The sequence below is a fragment of the Homo sapiens genome, chromosome 5, assembly GCF_000001405.40.
Source record: "Homo sapiens chromosome 5, GRCh38.p14 Primary Assembly".
Lineage (NCBI taxonomy): Eukaryota > Metazoa > Chordata > Mammalia > Primates > Hominidae > Homo > Homo sapiens.
The window spans coordinates 159,992,787-160,013,734 of NC_000005.10; the positions used below are offsets into that span (position 1 = coordinate 159,992,787).

Here is a 20,948-nt window from a genome sequence, read left to right on the forward strand (position 1 = left end):
CTTGGTAATGGTGATGGTTGCACAACATTATGAATGTATTATGTGTTACTAATAGGAAATTATATGTTATATGTATTTTACTGCACTAAAAAATTTAAGTTATTTTGTCCTCACCTCCCCCTTGGGACCCTACTTCCCTCATCTATGCAAGAAGGAAGTTGAGCTCACTGTGCCCTTCAGGTTCTAACTTTCTAAGACACCATAAACTGCCCAGGTAGTGTACTTTGCACTCTGCCTACCTATAGGATAACTTAAGTAGAGTACCAAATAGGCAACGATAATACTAAACCACAAAATTAAAAAGTTACTCTCTTTTCAGTCTCTTTTACTCTTTCTGATTGTGTCAAGTTGAAAGTCTTGCTTTGGTGCTAGTGCAAAGCAGGTTCACTGTGCACCAATTGCTTGCCAAATTGAGATAGAAATTCACACACGCAACCCATTACATGAAATGGGCTTATTACTCACAGATAGGCAGCAAGGGACAACAGAAGCCCAGGATTCACAATTAGCCAGTCCCTCAAGGCTCAGGAAAAGCTGCCTGGGGCAGATGAATGCTCTTCTGCACATGCCCCTCTTGCACCACAGCTGAAGGACCTTGGAAAGCAGCTCATCCTGGGTTTTATACCAGGGGATATGGGACTCGCTGAGCTAAAGCATTGAAGGGCATCCTGTTTCTAGGAGGGACTGAAACAAAGCCCAAGCTGTTCCAGTCAGCTCCTCCAAATCTTAGGATATTATATTCCCAGCACATTCTATAGTTATTCTTGAGAACTATAAGTAAGATGAGGGGGAGAACTGGGTCCAAGGCTACCCAGAGAACTGTCTTACTAGTAGACACCTAACACCCCTCTAATACTTGCTAATCTCTTTATGTGTGGGTTTTTTTTTTAATTTTTTACTTTTTTACCTTTTTGTAGAGACAGGGTCTCCCTATGTTCTCCAGACTGGTCTCAAGCTCCTGGCCTCAAGGGATCCTCCTACCTTGGCCTCCCAAAGCACTGGATTACAATCCTGAGCCGCTACCCCCAACTTGTTTATTTCTTTAAGTAAAGAGATATCAGACCTCAGCCTCGGAAATTTAGGCAGACAACCTCAGAGCTCAATTTTAATAACATTATTTTGTTTCTATTTTACTTATTTCTACTAAAAGCATCCCTTTAGCACAAGTGACACTAGTATTTCAACTGTACAGATGACATAATATTTTTCTTCTTAAAGTAAATTTTACTGAGTCAAAAAGTGATAGAATTATTTTTAAATTTACTTAAATAACAGAAGATTGCAGAAATACAAAAAATCATAATGTAGATATGCTAATCACTGACGTTTGAGAAACAGTACACTATTCAATTACTGATGCTACTACTTGGGAACTGAAAGCAGGACTTACAGCCCATCAATCCTTTAGAAATTATAGGCTGTTGGCTGGACACAGTGGCTCACGCCTGCAATCCCAGCACTTTGGAAGGCTGAGGCCTGCAGATCACTTGAGGTCAGGAGTTCCAGAGCAGCCTGGCCAACATGGCAAAACCCCGTCTCTACTAAAAATATAAAATTTAGCCAGGTGTGTTGGCAGGCGCCTGTAATCCCAGCTACTCAGGAGGCTGAGGCAGGAGAATCACTTGAACCCAGGAGAAGGAGGTTGCAGTGAGCCAAGATCATGCCACTGCACTCCAGCCTGGGCAACAGAGCAAGACTCTGTCTCAAAAAAAGAAAAAATAAGAAATTACAGGCTGTGGACAAAGCTTTGGCTAAGAACAGATCACACCTGCTTCATCCACCCCACTGTGTCACTTTATGGAGCAACAGCAATGGGCCAGGGAGGCCTGCAGTTTGGAAAATAAAGCTGAGGAGACAGAAACTGGCTTCAGGTCCAAGACCTTTTGTGTAGGCCCTAGGAGTAACTGGGCACACTGATGTGACTCAATCACAGAAGCCCTCAGCATGGAAAGGGACAGCAGGGAAGAGAATGCCCAGTCACTCTCACTGCCTCCCATATTTCACCTATCCTGCAGGGGTGAGAGAATCTTCTAGAAATAGGCCTTCATAAGTTGTGCTCACACCGCTGGTCATACTCAGCCTTCCAAGGGGATGCTACTGGCGGTGTCAGTTCCTGTAAGAAATAAGCATGGTCAAGATGACTCTCAGAGCACCCCCCACAAGACTTCATATTCCTTCTCATCATTCATCTTGTGCCAAGAGCCGTCCAGAGCAGTAATTACTAAGGAATCCCAAATGAACATTATTTCTAAATCTAAGATCTAAAGGGCTGTTCATTATAAGGAATAACAAAAGCAACTCACTGTGCCTTAGCCCTTAGGAAAATCTCCCTAGATAAGAAAATGGAAATTTGAGAGTTTTCCTCATGTCCGTCGAGCTGATGCCTTGAGAGCTCCCACATTTTCATATAGACAGCTGGATTAAGTAGCAAAACAGAGCTCCCTGGGGTGGTTGTGGGGAGAGGAAAGGAGAGGGAGAATCTAAATAAATGCTAAAACATCGCTGGGATAAATTACAGGAAAAGTTCATTGGTCTCATTCCTGTTAGTATCACTTCTGGAGAGTGGTACTGGGGCTCCAAGTTAGTCCTATTTTAACGCTTAGATTTTTTAAATTGTGTTATTTTTATAAAGATGATGATGATAAAGGGATATTAATTAGAAGGGATTCCAAATTTTAGCCTGCCCAGTGTACTTCTGGGGACCCAACCAGCCCCCAGTAGAGAAAGACATGTGCCTCACTTCTAAGCCCGACATCTAAGGAAGCCACTTTGGCAGGCATTAACATCTTCGGTGGTCCCTAACCATCAGTGCTAAGGAAGTAGTGTCAAAGAAAACAAAAGAGCCAGGTAGATAAATGGCACCATCCTTCGACAGAACTGTAGGCCAAGTGTGCCTTCGGGAACCACAGGCCATCCTTGCCCCTTGAACCCTTGTAAGTCCTACGGGCTCACGCATGCCCCGCACGACCCACATGGCCCCAGCTCATATGGAAGAAAGCCTAGCAGAGTGGTCACTGGAACAGGGAAGGCATCTGGAGTCCAAAGCTTCTTCACAGCTCCTACAAACTCTCCACCACTTCTCATCCCACTTTCTTCCTGTAAAGTCAGCACTGCTGGCAGAAGAAATATCTCGGAGGCTTAGGCAAAACATTTGAGGAATAAAAGAGAAGTTGCTTTAGTCCCCTCAATTTACACAACCCTCTTAATTGCCTCCATGTCTGTGGTTGTTAGCCACTAATTATTAGGTGTTTCGTCTGTGTCAGCATTTTCATAAACTGTTCCTCTCCCTGGGACATGGTAAGTATTTCCTCAGGCTGACTTTGAGGCAGTGGACCAAAGCTGCAGCTGGAGAAAGCGGGCTGGGGTTGGGGAGGGCTTAATGGGATTTTGAGTCTGTGTGAGTGATTTTTAAGCTGTGAGTCAATTTGGTAGAAAGAGCACTGAACTGCAATCCACTGAAACAGTAATAATAATAATAGCTGCTTTTTGCTGTGCCAGGCACTGCCTAAGTCCTCTGTATCTTCTAATCCTCACCAAAAAACCTTAAATGAAGGACTTAGGGCTCAGAGAGAGTAAGTCACCCAGCCAGGAAGAGCTGTGTATCAGTTAGGGGAGTGAGTTTGGCTGCACATAACAGAACACACATAACAGTGGCTTGAACAAATCAAAAAGGGCTGTTTGTTTATTTTTTCTCTCATATGAGAAGTCTGGAAGTAGGCAGTCTGGGGACAGTGGGGATAGTATGGCAAATCCACACTGTCAGGAGAGGCCCATGGCCCTTCTAGTGTTTCCCTACTCTGTCCTTAAAATGTGGCCATAATGTCCCTCTTCCAGGCAGGAAGAAATATGGCAAAGACAAAAGGCACATACAGGGCCAGGTGTGGTGGCTTATACCTGCAATCCCAGCCACTCAGGAGACCAAGGTGGGAGGGTTGCTTGAGCCCAGGAGTTTGAGACCAGCCTGGACTGCATAGCAAGATCCCCTCTACAAAGAAATTTAAAAACAAAAAATTATCCAGGCATGGTGGTACGCCCCTATAGTCCCAGCTACTCAGGAGACTGAGGCAAGAGGATCACTTGAGCCCAGGAGCTGCAGGTTGCTGTGAACTATGATTGCACCACTGCACTGCAGGCTGGGCAACAGAGTGGGACTCTGTCTATAAAAACAAACAAACTGGCCAGGTGTGGTGGCTCATGCCTGTAATCCCAGCACTTTGGGAGGCTGAGGCCAGTGGATCACCTGAGGTCAGAAGTTCGAGACCAGCCTGGCAACATGGTGAAACCCTGTCTCTACGAAAAATACAAAAATCAGCCGGGCATGGTAACGGGTGCCTGTAATCCCAGCTACTTGGGAGGCTGAGGCAGGAGAATCGCTTGAACCCAGGAGGCGGAGGTTGCAGTGAGCCAAGATCGTGCCACTGCAATCCAGCCTGGGTGACAAAGTGAGACTGTCTAAAAACAAACAAACAAACATTCTCCTCCAGTGTGGCAAAAAGAATTTTTGAAATCAAATAAAAACAAACAAAAAGACACATACAGCTGAGTTTGCCCTCTGTTACAGAGATTTCCAGAAAGTCTCATCTCTCTGCTTCTACTGTGTTGTGTGGCCAGTTTTCTACAAATGCCTATTGTGTCACTGGTACTGTGCTAAGATTTTACATATATTGTTACATTTATTCCTCATAACAGCCTTATAGAGAAGGAATTACCAACCTCTGGGTTCTAGTTTATTCCCTGCTATGTGGCTAAAATGTCTTAGATAAATCACATTCCCTCTCTGGACCTCATTTGTTCATCTGCTTTATGAGGGATTGGACTAGATAAGGAGTTCCTAACTTGAGATCTACAAACCCCTAAAGGGACAATGGATAAAATTTAGAGGGAAGGGTCATGACTTTAGATAGGGGGAAAATTACATTCTTATCTTCACTAACTTTTTTTTTTTTTTGAGACAGAGTCTTGCACTGTCACCCAGGCTGGAGTGCAGTGGCCCAATCTCGGCTCACTGCAACCTCTGCCTCCCAGTTTTAAGCAATTCTCCTGCCTCAGCCTCCCAAGTAGCCAGGATTACAGATGACCACCACCCCGCCTGGCTAATTTTTGTATTTTCAGTAGAGATGGGGTTTCACCATGTTGGCCGGGCTGGCCTCAAACTCCCGACCTCAGGTGATCCTCCTGCCTCGGCCTCCCAAAGTGCTAGGATTACAGGCGTAAGCCACCGCGCCTGGCCTCTAACTTTTAACTGAAATTTAGTTTTTCCTTCTTTTATGAACTTAGCCAATAGAACATAGTAATATTAGCAGAGCTTTTGACTTTATCACCAAAAGAATATCAGATATTTCATAGCATATTACAGTTGTTTCAGATGACTTGAAATATTGAATATACTCATCACTACTTCAAAATTGTGGTAGTTATTACACCTGCTATACTTAATGTGTTAATAAAAAGGAGTGTGTGTGTAGACAAACAGAATATGTAGATACGTAGATATATATATCTTGCTAATTTTATTGTTAGTATTATAGGAACTGTATTTCAATATAATTTATTTCCTTCATATTCCAGTATATTTTGTTTTATGCATTTAAAAAAATTTCTCTGAGAAGCGATCCAGAGGCTTCAGCAGCCCACCAAAGGAGTTCATAGAACAAATGAGATGAAGAACTGGACAGAGATCTCTTTGTCCCTCCGGCTATAAATATAACTCTGTCATAAGCTATCGTGGTCTTCCTGATCAAGTCCTTTCAGCTCTCAATTTCCTCAGTTTCTCTTCGGTAAAATGGAAGTAATACTTGCTTTGTCTAGCTCAGAGCTGTTAGGGGAACCAAAGTAATCTTCATGTAAGCACACACGAATGCAGAGCTTACGCATTTTCAATTACACAGGATCGGCTTCTGTAGTGCTGAGTGAATGTTGAGTCTTACTATATTCTTCAACTTGAGACCTATTTCCCAGAGACGCTGATGTTTTTCTGTCACTTCCATGTAAGTGTCCTGCTACAACCATATATTATCTTTTTAGTGCCAGTTTAGGGCTGAATTCATATAAAATTCAATAATAAAGGGGGAACTGCATCTTAAGTGCACTTGGATGGAACTACTTACGAAAATAGAAGATAAAATGAGATTTCGCCAATGGGTCTTGTAGCTCCAATTATCTTAGGCTCTTTGAAAAGCTTGAGTCAATGTACTGTGATTTTAAGTTATAGATCAAACACAGTTCATTTTGTCTACAACTTCTAAACCGGGATAAATGGACAAAGGACAGAAAAATAAGGAAGGTTGGTTTGTCTTGTTCATAATCTGTGTCTTTGGATATCTGTGAATACTTATTAAATATTCATCTAAAAGTCAGCTTAGGTAGCCATAATTAATGTTTCAAATAGCCAAGTAAAGATCTACAAATATATTTTGTTTGTTTGTTTGTTTGTTTTTAGGACAGAGTCTTACTCTGTCACCCAGGCTGGGGTACAGTGGTGTGAACACAGCTGTATTAATCCGTTCTTGTACTGCTATAAAGAAATACCTTACACCCTCTACCTTTGTAGCAGGGGATCTTGCTATGTTGCCCAGGCTGGTCTCAAACTCCTAGGCTCAAGCAACCCTCCCACCCTGGTCTCCTGAGTGGTTGGGATTACAGGTGTGAGTCACCACACCTGGCCCTGTATATGCCTTTTATCTTTGTCACATTTCTTCCTGCCTGAAAGAGGGACATTATGGTCACATTTTAAGGACAGTGCAGGAAAACACTAGAAAGGCCATGGGCCTTATCTGACAGTGTGGATTTGCCATTAAAAAAAAAAAACGTGGGTATGCCACACACTTTTAAAGAAGCAGATCTCACGAGAACTTACTATTGTGACCACAACACCAAGGGGAGATGGTGTTAAACCATGAGAAACTGACCCCATGATCCAATCACCTCCTATCAGGACCCACCACCAGCACTGGAGATTACACTTCAACACGAGATTTAGGTGGGGACACAGATCCAAACCACATCAAAAGCTCACTGCAACTTCAATCTCCTGGGCTCAAGTGATCCACCCACCTCAGCCACCCAAGTAACTGGGACTCCAGGCACATGCCTCCACACTTGGCCAATTTTTCATTTTTTGTAAAGATGGGGTCTATGTTGCCCAGGCTTGTCTTGAACTCCTGGCCTCAAGTGATCCTCCCACCTCAGCCTCCAAAACTGCTGGGATTAGAGGGACGAGCCACCATGCCCAGGCTATGAATATCTTATTTGTTAAATTATGTTTAAGAAAGTACTTCAAATTATGTTTGAAGTACTGCTGAATGCTTTCATAGTCTTTAACTAAAAGACACAGGGTACTGTGAGTGAAGTAGTCTACATGGACAAGCAAGATAGTTCCTAAACAAGCTACTATTTTGATCAGTTTCTCCAAATATTTATGGAAATAGTCTGAGATATTTATGTTGGGGAGGATGTTTGATTTGCACACTGGAAGCTATTCTTTTTTTTTTTCTCGCTTCAAGAGAATTTCAGGATGATGTTGGGGTTTGAGTCATATAAATAATGCCGCTAAAAGTCAGGCTTGAGGAAATTTCTATGCTACTAAAAAAGAAAAAAGAAAAGCCCATTTTTTTTTTTTTTTTTTTTTTGAGACAGAGCGTCTCTCTGTCACCCAGGCTGGACTGCAATGGTGCAATCTTGGCTCACTGAAACCTCCACTTCCCAGGTTGAAGCAAGTCTCTTGCCTCAGCCTCCCGAGTAGCTGAGATTACATACGCCTGCCAACACACCCAGCTAATTTTCATATTTTTAGTGGAGATGGGATTTTACCATGTTGGCCAGGCTGGTCTCAAATTCCTGGCCTCAAGTGATTTGCCCGCATCGGCCTCCCAAAGTGCTGGGATTACAGGCACGAGCCACCATCCCGTCCTGAAAAGTCCACTTTTATATGTATTTTTTAAAAAATCAACTGATTATGCTGGGGGAAGTGGCTCACACCTGTAATCCCAGCACTTTGGGAGGCTGAGGCATGTGGATCACTTATTTTCATTTTCCTTACACAGGGTCTTACTCTGTTGTCCAGGCTGGAGTGCAGTGGCTCAATCATGGCTCACTGCAGCCTTGAACTCCTGGGTTCAAGTGATCCTCCCGCCTCAGCCTCCTGAGTAGCTGGGATTACAGGCATGTGCCACCACACCCAGCTGTTACTTTTTAAAAGACAGGCTCTGAGTATTCTACATATGTTAATTCTCTTATGCATCCCAGTAGCCCTGGGATGAAAATACTGTCATTGTCTCCATGTTACGAATAGGGAATCTGAAGCTTACTTAAGTTAAGGAGCTCGTCCAAGGTGATAGGACTTGTTGGAGCAGAGCTGGGATTCAGTCTTGGCCAGTCTGATATCACAGTTCATCTCTAAAACAGGAGTCAGCACATTACAGACCACAGGCCAAGTCCCCCCTGATGCCTGCTTTTATAAATAAAGTTTTATTGGAACACAGGCATTCTTGTTCATTTATGTGGTGTGCATGGCTGCTTTTGTGTGACAACGGCGTTTGAGCAGTTGTGGATAACTGGAGTGGTGGAGGGTAGAGTCATCCTCTTTAAAATGTGAGCCCCCAGAGTGGGAACTTCCAAGCTGAGATCTCAATCCCCAGAGTGAGCTTGTTGCTGAGGAATTTGTAGTTTAGTCAGCTCCCCAAAAACCCACTATCTCTGCTTTGACCTGAACAGAGGATGACAAAGAAATCTGTCTCCTTTCTGGAGTGAAAATATTTCCTTCCCCTTCAAAATGAGTCTAAATGACAGCTGAAGGTGTTCTGTGCGGTGCTTGGCACCCAGTCAGCACTCAGCAAATGTCCCCTTCCTTCCGACACCTGCCCTTGCCACCAGCTGGACCAAAATTGGCCACCTGCCTAAACTTGCAATGGTTTGTATATCATGGGACACAATGCTTTATGCTTTAAAACCAACATTGACATTTCATATAATAAAGTGAGGGTTGGAAGTAAGTTTCACAACTCAGAATAAACTGTTTGGGTCCAGCTGATGAGTGCGAGGGTGGGGGGGTGCAGTGAGGGGAATATGCTAGGTCAGCCAGGTCAGCCATTCCATTATGGTTGAGGCAGTGAATTATCTTTGTCCAGAAGACCAAGGTGGAGGGCAAAAGGGGAATGAGCACTCAAGTGAGTGGGAGCAGAATGCTTGCCTGGGCAGCCTCTGGATAACTCTTTCGAAGACTGTGTCAGTCTTGGTCCCTCCACCCATCCAACACCAGCATTAAAAGCCTAATCTTTAACCAGGCTCTGAGCCATTTGCCTGACACTGAGAAACGGCTGAGTTTTCCTGCCAAATATATATCCACATTTTTTTTTTATAGATATAAATCACCTTCAAGTCACTTCTCCTCTTTGCAGTTAAGGTTACTAAATCTGCCCAGCACTTTTGTTCTTTAGAAGAATATAGACTTTGTGGTTAGACTGGGTTTTAAGTCCCTGATCCATTCTACTAACTGTGTGACCTTGGGAAAAACTTTTAACCTCTCTGAGCCTCTCAGTCTTATCATTTGCAATAACAGTACTTACCAATTTCATCCACCTGCATAACAAATATTTGAGTGCCTATTGTGTGCCAGACACTGTGAAAAGCTATAAATTTCACAGCAAATAATACAGACAAGATCCTTATCCTTGTGGATCTTACCATCTAATAGAAGGCACTATAATAATCAAGTAAATAAGATTATTACAGATGGTGATAAACGATACGGAGGGGATATAGAGGGTGATGTAATAGAGTGAGCTACTTAAGTGACATTGAAGACCTGAAGTGTGAGAATGAGCAATAACCATGGGAAGAGCTGTTAATGGTATCAAGCCACAGGAACATGGAGCACAGAGGTGTGGCGATGGGAAAAGAGGTGTTGTTTTAGGGCCGGGCGTGGTGGCTCACGCCTGTAACACCAAGACTTTGGGAGGCTGAGGCGGGCAGATCACTTGAGGTCAGGAGTTCAAGACCAGCCTGGCCAACACGGTGAAACCTCGTCTCTACTAAAAAAAAAAAAAAAAGTACAAAAATTAGCCGGGTATGGTGGTGTGCGTCTGTAATCCCAGCTACTTGGGAAGCTGAGGTGGGAGAATCGCTTGAACCTGGGAGGTTGCAGTGAGCCAAGACTGCACCACTACACTCCAGCCTGGGCGACAGAGCAAGACTCCATCTCAAAAAAAAAAAATGTTGTTTTAGGAACAGAGAGTAGTATAGTATCAAGAGGGAAGGTGGTACGAGATGAGGTCAGAGAGGGAGGCAGAGGCCCGATCACATGGGCTTTATGCATAATGGTAAGGATTTTAGATTTTATTCTAATCAGGGTGGGAAGTCAATAAAAGAATTGTACAAGGTTCATATTTTCTTTTCCTTTTTTTTTTTTTAAATCTCTGAGACAGGGTCTGGCTGGAGTGCTGTGGTGTGATCATGTGGCCCACTGCAGCCTTGACCTCCTGGGGTAAAGGAATCCTCCTCACTCAGCCTTCCGAGTAGCTGGGATGACAGGTGCGTGCAATGGCACCTGGCTATTTTTTATTTTTAGAAATAAGGTCTTACTATGCTGCCCCGGCTGGTCTCGAACTCCTGGCCTCAAACACTCCTCCTGCCTGAGCCTCCCAAGGTGCTGCGATTACAGGCATAAGCCACCATGCCCAGCCATGATTCATGTTTTGAAAAGATCAGTTTTGATGCTTTGTGAAAAGATTATAAGAAACAAGAGAGGTCAGGGTTATTGTAAAGATTACCTGCAATTACAAATGTAATGGGCACAGCCCCTGATGCACGTAAATTCTCTATGAATAATAGTTAGTTGTTCTGGAAAGTCTAAGCCTGTCCTGTCCAGTACACCAGCCATTCTCCACATGTGATTACTGAGCATCTGGAATGTGGCTGGTGCGACCAAGGACTTAAATTTCTGATTTTATTTAATTTTAATTAATTTAAATTTAAAAACTGATATTCAATTCAGTTACTGGGAAGTATGTTTGAAAAAACTTACATATATGAATCAATTTTTTAAAATATAGATTTTATGAAATGTGAATGCAGACTCAAGTATTTTTGATGAAAATTTGATGTCCAAATTGAGATACACTATAAAATACACACATGATCCCAAAGACTTAGTAAGAAAAACAGAATGTAAAATAACTTGTTACAGCTGGGCACGGTGGCTCACACCGGTAATCCTAGCACTTTGGGAGGCCAAGGCAGGCAGGTCACCTGAGGTCAGGAGTTCAAGAGCAGCCTGGCCAACATGGCGAAACCCCGTCTCTACTAAAAATACAAAAAATTAGCTGGGCATGGTGGTGCATGCCTGTAATCCCAGCCACTCAGGAGGCTGAGGCAGGAGAATCACTTGAACCCAGGAGCTGGAGGTTGCAGTGAGCTGAGATCGTGCCACTGCCCTCCAGTCTGGGCGACAGAATGAGTGAGACTCCGTCTCAAAAAAAAAAAAAAAAAAACACTTGATAAACATTTTTATATTCATCACATGCCCAAAGGATATTTTAGACATATTTGATTAAATAAAACATTAATTGCATTTAATAATAGTAAATATTAAATTAATTTTACTTATTTTACTGTTTTTAATGCCGATACCAGGAAATTTAAAATTTGACCAGGTATAGTGGCTCACACCTATAAGCCCAGCACTTTGGGAGGCCAAGGCTGGAGGATACCTTGAGGCCGGGAAATCAAGACCAACCTGGTAAAAATAGCAAGACCCTCTCTCTACAAAAAAAAAAAAAAAAAAAAAAAGAGGCACGATGGCATCCGCCTGTAGTTCCAGTTGCTTGGGAGGCTGAGGTGAGAGGATGGCTTGAACCCAGGATGTCAAGGCTGCAGTGAGCTATGATTGTGCCACTGCACTACAGCCTGGGTGACAAGAGTGAGACCCTGTCACAAAATAAAGTAATAAAATATGTGTGGCCCAGTACAGTGGCTTATGCATGTTATCACAGCATTTTGGGAGGCTGACATGAGAGGATCACTTGAGGCCAGGAGTTTGAGGCTGCAGTGAGCTAGAATTATGCCATTGCACTCAGCCTGGGTGACAGAGTGAGATCCTGTCTCTAATAAATAAATAAATTACATATGTGGCTGACATTGTATTTCTATTGGGCATGCTGATCTAAGGGAAAACAAAAATGTAGACATAAATGCACAGGATGCTAATTCTTGATTATGTCTCATCAGAAATTTTAATTCAAAGATTGGAACTGGGAAAAAATAAGAAACAAAAGCATGTTTTGGAAACACTGTAGGAATGCATAATCTACATCATAATTATTTATTTATTTTTATTTTATTTTATTATATATTTTGTTTGAGACAGAGTCTCACTTTGTTGCCCAGGCTGGAGGGCAGTGGCGTGATCTCAATTCGCTGAAACTTCTGCCTCCCAGGTTCAAGCGATTCTCGTGCCTCAGCCTCCCGAGTAGCTGGGATTATAGGCCTGTGTCACCACATCCAGCTAATTTTTGTATTTTTAGTAGAGACAGGGTTTCACCATGTTGGCCAGGCTGGTCTCAAACTCCTGGCCTCAAGCAATCCTCCTGCCTCCGCCTCCCAAAGTTCTGGATTACAGGCATAAGCCGCCATGCCCAGCCTTATTTATTTTTATATACATCTCATTCTCAAGGAGTTCTTTTAGCATCCCTGACTGTTCCTGGATTTTAGACCCTCCTTTGGCAAGCTCAAGAAGCTCAGTCCCGGGGAAACAGAGAGAATGGAGCTCAGGACTTAGAGGGTCCCAGAATGTAAGGTTTTATCCCCAAAACCAACTGGGCTCAATACAACTGATTAGGTGATGGACATGTGTCATTAAGAAACCACTGACCTGCTCCCCCCCAAAAAAAAAAAAGAGGGAAACTGATTCTTTTGCTACTTTCTTGATTTATTGCTATACCCACCACTGGACCTAGTATGATGCCTAGCATTTATTCATTATTCAATAATTTATGTTCAGCACTGATTCTTTCAACAAACTTGGGTGCTCAGTTCCCTATCTGGGGGGTGTGAATGAAACCTTCACAAATATTGCCACTATTAATAATAGTAGTAGTATTCATTAACATAGTAATAATAAAATCACTATTAGTAATTAATCATAATAATGGTAATATCTGTGAGATCTTCATTAATAGTAATAATGATTACAGTAACAACAAACACTTATTGAGTACTTACTGTGCTAGGTGCTATTAATATTAAAGCGGCCAGATGCAGTGGCTCACTCCTGTAATCCCAGCACTTTGGGAGGCCAAGGCGGGCGGATCGCTTGAGCTCAGGAGTTTGAGACCAGCCTGGGCAACATGGCAAAACCCCGTCTTCACAAAAAATACAAAAATTAGCCAGGTGTGGTAGTCAGCGCCTGTAATCAGTCCCAGCTACTCGGGAGGCTGGGGTGGGGAAGATTGCTTGAGCCCAGGCGGTCAAGGCTGCAGTGAGCCGAGATTGTGCCACTGCACTCCAGCCTGGGTGAGAGAGAGAGAACCTGCCTCAAAAAAATTTTTAAGTATTTTTTCTATCTTGAGCACTTCATTTTCTGTGTTTTAGATAAAACATGACACCATTTAATTCTTACAACAACCCTATAACTCCAAAAGTGTCAGTATCTGCTTACTCAACTCAGAGAGCTGAGTGGCCAGTGTTTTGGCCATAAATTTCTGAAATAGGATGTTCACTGATCCCTTACAACTGTAAACAGGGCAAACATGGTCTCTGCCCTGGGAAAATACAAACAGAACCACCCTCTGAATCAAAAACATTTCTTGTCCTTTTACAGGATAGTTGTAAGGACTAAGAAACAAAATCTTCATGTTTCCAGGAATGGATGAGTTGGCTTTCATCATTAAAAATTTGTTTTTTGCTTTGTGTTCTACATACACTTAAACAGCATCCAACTACCTATTGTTCCTAAAAATGCTTCTGATATTTTTATGCTCCTGATTCCATGTCCTTCTACCTATCCTGGTTTGTTTTTTTTTTTCCCCCACTAAGTGAACTATTCCTCTTTCTACAGCCTAACTCGAGTATCTTATTAGTGAAGACCTACCAAATTGGGCCAGTTGCACTTTGGTTTCTTTTGGCATAAAAAGAAAGGCAGATTGCTCTTCTTTTGGGCTCAGTAACTTCTTTATTTCCCTTCTCCACTCCCCCACTAGTCTGTGAGCTCCTGATGATGGGGAAGGGCAAGGATTCTGTCTTATTAGGCTTTCTGTCCCCAGCTACTGGCACAAGACCTGCCATATAATATTTTTGTTGCTAATATTCATTAAACACTGTGTTCCTTGTCTTCTAGATATTTTTTTCTCCCGCGCCCTGTGCTCCTTGTCTTCTAGGTATTTTTTCTCCCAACAAGCTTGTGAGGTAGGTACCATTGTTACCGATCCCAGTTTTTATACATGAGGTAAATTTATACATTAAAAAGTTGGCTGGGCCCTGTGGCTCACATCCATAATCCCTGCATGTTAGGAGGCTGAGGCAGGAGGATTGTTTGAGCCCAGGAGTTTGAAACTAGCCTGGGAAATGTGAGAACTTGTCTCTTAAAAAAAAAAAAAGTAAAATAAAAACCTTAGAAGCATAAGTAACTGGCCCCAAAATCACACTGCTACTCAGTGGCAGAGACTGAATTAGAACTCAGTAATCAAATAAGCCACCTAAAGCATTTTTCACAGCATGCGGTGCTTAATAAGCGTATAGTCTATGAATATTAGCAATGGGAATTATTGTTTAGAGTTGTACAGCTAGTAAAGGAAGCTGAGACCGTAACTCAAGTTTTATGGGTTTAGTTACTTATTTATTTAGCTCCAAAGTTTACAGTCTTTCCATTACACCAGAATTGAATTAACAGGGCCACTTAAAGAGGCTTAACCATTTGCTTTTTTTTTTTTTTTTTTTTTTAAATATAGACAGTCTCCCTCTGTTGTTCAGGCCAAAGTGCAGTGTCGTGATCACAGCTCACTGCAGCCTCTGACTCCTAGGTTCAAGCATCCTCCCACCTCAGCCTCCTGAGCAGCTGAGACTACAGATATGCGCCACTGTGCCCAGCTAATTTATACACACACACACATATGTATATGTATATATAGATAGAGATGGGTTTTGCCATGTTGGTCAGGCTGGTCCCGAACTCCTGGCCCCAAGAGATCCTCCCATGTCCACCTTCCAAAGTGCTGGGATTACAGGCATGAGCCACCACACTCAGCCTCCATTTACACTTTTTAAATTCTGGGGGTATTTTTTAAAATTCAGAAATACTAAAACCAAAATAGGATATATTTTTGATGTTTTCTTTTAGCATATAAAGCTTTCAACTTACAAAAAATACAACTGTATGCATAATCTCATTTAGATGGAAATTCAAAAAACAAGTTTCATACTCTTCCTGAAAAAGTCTCTTCCAGCTATCTATCTCTGCAATAGGTTCTGTGAATTACAGAAAACGAATTCTCTGCTGTCATTGCTGGTTACCTGTCTGGCTACCTTGAGGATGGGTACTATATTTCAATTCTGTGATCCCAGCACAATGCCCAGGGTCTAATAAACATTCAGTGAACATTTCTCGAATGAATGCATAGGGCAACCACTCTTGGTCTCAGGGTTCCCTTACGGTCTTAAATATTATTGAGGTTGGTCTGAGTGCAGTGGTGTTTACAACTAACTGATCACAACCAGTTACAGATCTTTTTGTTTCTTCTCCACTCCCACTGTTTGACTTGGCTAGCCCTTGAAAAATAAAAATGGACCGGGCGCGGTGGCTCACGCCTATAATCCCAGCACTTTGGTAGGCCGAGGAGGGAGGATCGCTTGAGCCCAGGAGTTCAAGAACAGCCTGAGCAACATAGTGAAACTCCGTCTCTACTAAAAATACAAAAAAATTAGCTGGGCGTGGTGGCGCGCACCTGTGGTCCCAGCTACTCGTAAGGCTGAGGCAAGAGAATCGCTTGATCCCAGGAGGTTGAGGCTGAAGTGAGTAGAGGCTGTGATTGCGCCACTGCACTCCAGCCTGGGCGACAGACTGAGACTCTGTCTCAAAAATAAATAAATAAATAAATAAATAAATAAATAAATAAATAAATAAATAAATAGTGAAACGAACACCACAGGGACAGACTTCCTTTTGTCCTTTTTTCTCTTCGTGCAGAGTAACGCGGAGTCTTGCCGTAACCCAAGATGGCAACCATCTCTCAAATGTCACGCCGTACAATGACGTCACACAGCGACTATGCCTTTCCTCCCTGAGAGTTTCGCTACATTTCCCAGGATGCTTTGCCAATAGCGACGCTATTAGTCGTCATCGACGGAAGTGCACCTGACTGAGCGGAAGTAGGAGCTCTCAGAGGCTAAGAAGGTGGAGACCGGAGAAGCTGTGAGGTTGTGAGTAACCCCGTGGGTCTAAGCGTGTTGGCTGTGAGGAACAAAGCTAGGGAATAATCTGCTGGGAAGCGCGAGGCATCACTTCCCTAACTGTAGGAGCTCAAACTCCTGTGTTCTTCCAGTAGACCTGGGAGCGAAGAGAAGCAAGACATTGCTGTGGAGGCGAAGTCTCCGTATTAAGATCTTGCTGGTTTTTTAAGTTTTCTTGGCACATACTAGGGCAAATTCAGACTCTTGTCGTGATACAAGGGTCGTTGGCGTGATTTTGCTGCGACTAGAGCAATTTACGTTCTTGCAAATCTGTCGCAAATTTTTGCAAATGTCTGGGCTGCTGATGCTCTGACTCAGCTTCTACAGCAGTGGTTCGCAATTGGCTGCATATCAGAATCACCTGGGATGAAAACATAAATAAATAAATAAATAAACCTGATGCCCTTGCTTGACGCGACACTAATAAATCAGAATTTGGTCAGGGTCTGAGCAGTGGTATTTTCTAAAGTATCTCTAGTGTTCTCTTGGGCAGCTAGGGTTCAGAGTCACGCTTTCTAATGCCTGACTCTGGCCCCCACGGTAATCCTGATTAGGGTCACCTGCGCCAGGGTTCCCCTTCCAGTGTAAGCTGAGTGGGCTCTACCACACGCATTTGGGTTAAAGTGATCACAATTTTGGCACGGATTTTATTTTGAAGTCTACTAGAAACGTATTCTTGGGCTTCCTGTGGTGGTGCTAAAAAGACGGACCGTAGTTTCTTACTCGTGCCTTGGTTATTCATTCTGAATGGAGATTAGGGCTGCTTCCTTTTTCTTGGCACTGTTTTAGTTTCTGCCTAATTTTTGCTATCCAAACAGAACACGAACGGTGGAACGTGGAAGAGTTACATTAAAAACGGCTTCTTTTGTTGCTTTTAAGAAGTTCTGGGCCAGGCGCGGTGGCAGGCGCCTGTAATCCCAGCTACTCGGGAGGCTGAGGCAGGAGAATCGCTTGAACCCGGACGGCAGAGGTTGCAGTGAGCCGAGATCGCGCCACTGCACTCCAGCCTGGGCGACAGACTGAGATTAAGTCTCAAAAAAAAAAAAAAAAAAAAAAGAATCTGGTACCAGATTTGACCAGAAAAGGGGTCTCAGTTAAAATGACGATTTGACATTATTATTACTTATGATAAGCTGTATTTTTAAATAATGAATTCCAGTGAAAGGAAATTACGGTGTGTTTTTTGGCTGTAATGCAGAGGTTTGTTTAGGTTTGAAACAGAACTTTTAAAAATACAAGCACCATTATATAGCAGTTTTGTTTTGTTTTCCCCCAGCTTTAGCGTCACCTCCCTCACTGGGCAGCATGGGGGAGAAGTCAGAGAACTGTGGGGTTCCAGAGGATCTGTTAAATGGTTTGAAGGTTACAGATACTCAGGAAGCCGAGTGTGCTGGCCCTCCAGTTCCTGATCCCAAAAATCAGCATTCCCAGAGTAAGCTGCTCAGGGATGATGAGGCCCATCTCCAGGAGGACCAGGGAGAAGAGGAGTGTTTTCATGACTGCAGTGCCTCATTTGAGGAGGAGCCAGGAGCGGACAAGGTTGAGAACAAATCTAATGAAGATGTGAATTCCTCTGAACTAGATGAAGAATACCTAATAGAACTGGAAAAAAACATGTCGGATGAAGAGAAACAGGTAAGTATTTTATTTATTGTGCAAGATCTGCCACTTACACTGCATTTTAAAATGTGGTCGATACTGTATCATAGACCACCTCATCTGTGGTAAAGAATAACTTGCCCCTTTGTCTTCTTATGGCTTTAGTAGTGTTGGATCTGAGATAAATCGGTGGCGTGACAGGGAAGCACTTGAGTGTGTCTGCTTAACAAAGAAATTTTCATTATTTTCTGTGAACCTTCAGTTATGTTCATCTTGTACTTCAGGAGTCTGTAATGTAACAGTCTTTTTGTTTATTTTCAAAATGTATATATACTTTTTAGTTTTCTGTTATGAACTTTTCTACGGTTGGCTGCTGAGATTTCTGTAATGAACATTTTTATGTTTATGCTACATTTATGTTTATGAACATTTCCTGTTTATGCTAATCCCTTGTTAGCAAAATATGACTGCCTGAATATCTTGGTGGGGTTTTGGTTGCAGAGGTCTTGAGAAACAGAATTGTGTATGATTATAGCTAGCTATCCTTTGTTGAATGCCTACAATGTGCCATCCACTGACTTAAAATGTTACTTGTGTTTTCATTAATCATCACAACATGCCTATGAGATACATACTGTTATTTCCCATAAGGAAACAGCTTAGAGGGATGAAGTAACTAGCCCAAGATCAAACACCTAATGAATTGCAAAACTAATTCTCAAATCAAATCTGTTGGATTCCAAAGCTAGAGTATAATGTATAATGTAATAACAAAAACATCTGTCTTCCTACAAAGCAGATAGACTAATAAAATGTACACTCTCCTGTTTCTTTGCCCTGGGGCCACACCCTTAACTGGGCAAGCCTTCACTTTTGGAGACTGAAGTCCTGCTGTCCTACTTCCTTCTGATTGCACAAGCAAGGTAGTCTCTGAAGAGTTACTGTAATGTCTTGAGTTTGTCTACAAAGAACTTGAACTAGATTGTAGTTTATGCCACTAAGGAGCTCACTCACTGAACAGGTTGTGATACATTGGTATTGAGATGAGATAATAAATGTTCAGCCTAAGCCTAACAGTGGGGGTGGGAAGGTAGCCTGGGGTGGGTAGGAGCATCTTCTCTTTCTCTCTCCTTAGACGCTTTTCATTATCAAATCAGTTAGCTTTAATGTGAACGTGTTCGTTTTTGTGCTAGTGTGCACCACCAGAACAGGAGGAAAAAGGGCAAAAGTGAGCCAAGTTCATAAACTACCACAGCAAATACAGCTCAAAAAAATTAACTACTGTTCCATAACATTATAACAGGTTTCAGGCTTTTTAGAAACACTGATTATGCATCTATGTTAAAAAGTTAGTAGTGCTTTTCTGATACCTTAATATATTTTGCCCTGAAATTATATTAATTTTCTAGTGCCCTCTGGATTTGACAGTTGAATGGTTTGGCTCAAGGTGTCACAAAGTCTGATCCCTACCTCTAATTTAGTAAAACTTTTTTTGTGTCTCCTAGGCCAGAAAATCATACTTTAAGTTCTATAAATACTTTTATGATTTTTTTTTTTTTTAAGACAGGATCTCACTGTGTCATCCAGGCTGGAGTGCAGTGATGTGATCACGGCTCACTGCAGTTTCAACCTCCTGGGCTCAAGTGGATCCTCCCACCTCAGCCTCCTGAGCACCTGGGACAACAGGCTTGCACCACCCTGCCTGGCTAATTTTTGTGGGTTTTTTGGTAGAGACAGTGTCTCACCATGTTGCCAAGGCTGGTCTCCAACTCCTGGGCTCAAGCAGTCCTCCCACTTTGGCCTCCCAAAGTGCTGGGATTACAGGCGTGAACCACCACACCCAGTGAGGATAATTATTTTTATTGCCTGTAAGTTTAATATTCTAAGTAGAACAATACTTTTTTTCACTTTTTTCCTCCTTTTAAAAATTGAGATATAATTTAGTGAAACTGTATATCAGTTCTCATGTGTAGAATGCAGTGAGTTTGACAATTGTATACACCTGCATAGTTCACGTTTCTATCAAGATAGAGAACATTTCCATCATGTCAGAAACTCCATTTGTGTGCTTTATCAGTCATTCCTTTCCCAACCCTGCCAGTCTCTGGTTAACCACTCTTCTGATTCCTGTCCCATAGGTGGTTTTTTCCTGTTCCAGACATTCATATAAACATAATCATACAGTAGTATTCATGTTTAAAACATAAATATTTTCTATTCATTTATATATCAGTCTAAGTGTTTTCATAGCTAATTTGAAAATTTGTAAGAATATCTCATAACAGTAACATACTGCAGTGCTAGTCTTATTATTTAGAGAAATGTAAGCCACTGACTCTACTTTAAGGAAACAACCTATAAGAGTGCAGATTGCCTTCAGCTAACTGTGGTACTACTCTTATTAGGTGTTTGTATGCTATTTTGATAAATATCTTTCCAAAATTTTCAAGAAGCCAGCGAAACAGATTGAAGAAATGTCTTCTACATATATGGTTTGGCTTTAATAGCTCATCAGAAACAGGATAGTGTTATATTTGAATCTTTTAAAATAAAGTTCAGATAGTTCAACAATGACTAAAAAAAAAAAATGGCCAAAAAATGTGAAAAGACTCAGCCTCATTAATAATGATGAAAAGTACAGGCTGGGCGTGGTGGCTCATGCCTGTAATCCTAGCACTTTGGGAGGCTGAGGCGGGCGGATCATGAGGTCAGGAATTCGAGACCAGCCTGACCAACATGATGGAACCCCATCTCTACTAAAAATACAAAAATTAACTGGACGTGGTGGTGTGCGCCTGTAATCCCAGCTACTTGGGAGGCTGCGGCAGGAGAATCGCTTGAACCTGGGAGATGGAGGTTATAGTGAGCTGAGATCAGGCCTCTGCACTCCAGCCTGGGTGACAGAGCAAGAC

General features: G+C 42.4%; 1 protein-coding gene across 2 annotated transcripts in view, besides 3 other annotated features; it reads left to right on the forward strand.

The window, feature by feature from the left end:
* Positions 8,227-8,427: a silencer, noted in NCBI's record as "peak5555 fragment used in MPRA reporter construct". NCBI's record gives its function as "represses an SCP1 promoter by STARR-seq MPRAs in K562 erythroleukemia cells {active_cell/tissue: K562}" and the evidence as "EXISTENCE:reporter gene assay evidence [ECO:0000049][PMID:32103011]".
* Positions 16,092-16,987: an enhancer, noted in NCBI's record as "H3K27ac-H3K4me1 hESC enhancer chr5:159435885-159436780 (GRCh37/hg19 assembly coordinates)". NCBI's record gives its function as "activates a minimal SCP1, AML or CMV promoter by ChIP-STARR-seq in naive H9 embryonic stem cells {active_cell/tissue: H9 hESC(naive)}" and the evidence as "EXISTENCE:reporter gene assay evidence [ECO:0000049][PMID:30033119]".
* Positions 16,162-16,251: an enhancer, noted in NCBI's record as "active region_23553". NCBI's record gives its function as "activates an Ori minimal core promoter by ATAC-STARR-seq in GM12878 lymphoblastoid cells {active_cell/tissue: GM12878}" and the evidence as "EXISTENCE:reporter gene assay evidence [ECO:0000049][PMID:35858748]".
* TTC1 (tetratricopeptide repeat domain 1) overlaps positions 16,353-20,948 on the forward strand; it is a 56,405-nt gene continuing 51,809 nt past the window's right edge. Inside the window, exons 1-2 of one of the 2 annotated variants that reach the window (NM_003314.3) lie at positions 16,353-16,407; positions 17,714-18,072. In NM_003314.3, the coding sequence (NP_003305.1) occupies positions 17,743-18,072 (330 nt within the window). In that variant the 5' untranslated portion in view covers positions 16,353-16,407; positions 17,714-17,742. The remainder of the gene's footprint in view (positions 16,408-17,713; positions 18,073-20,948) is intronic. The other variant, NM_001282500.2, reaches the window with a different exon arrangement.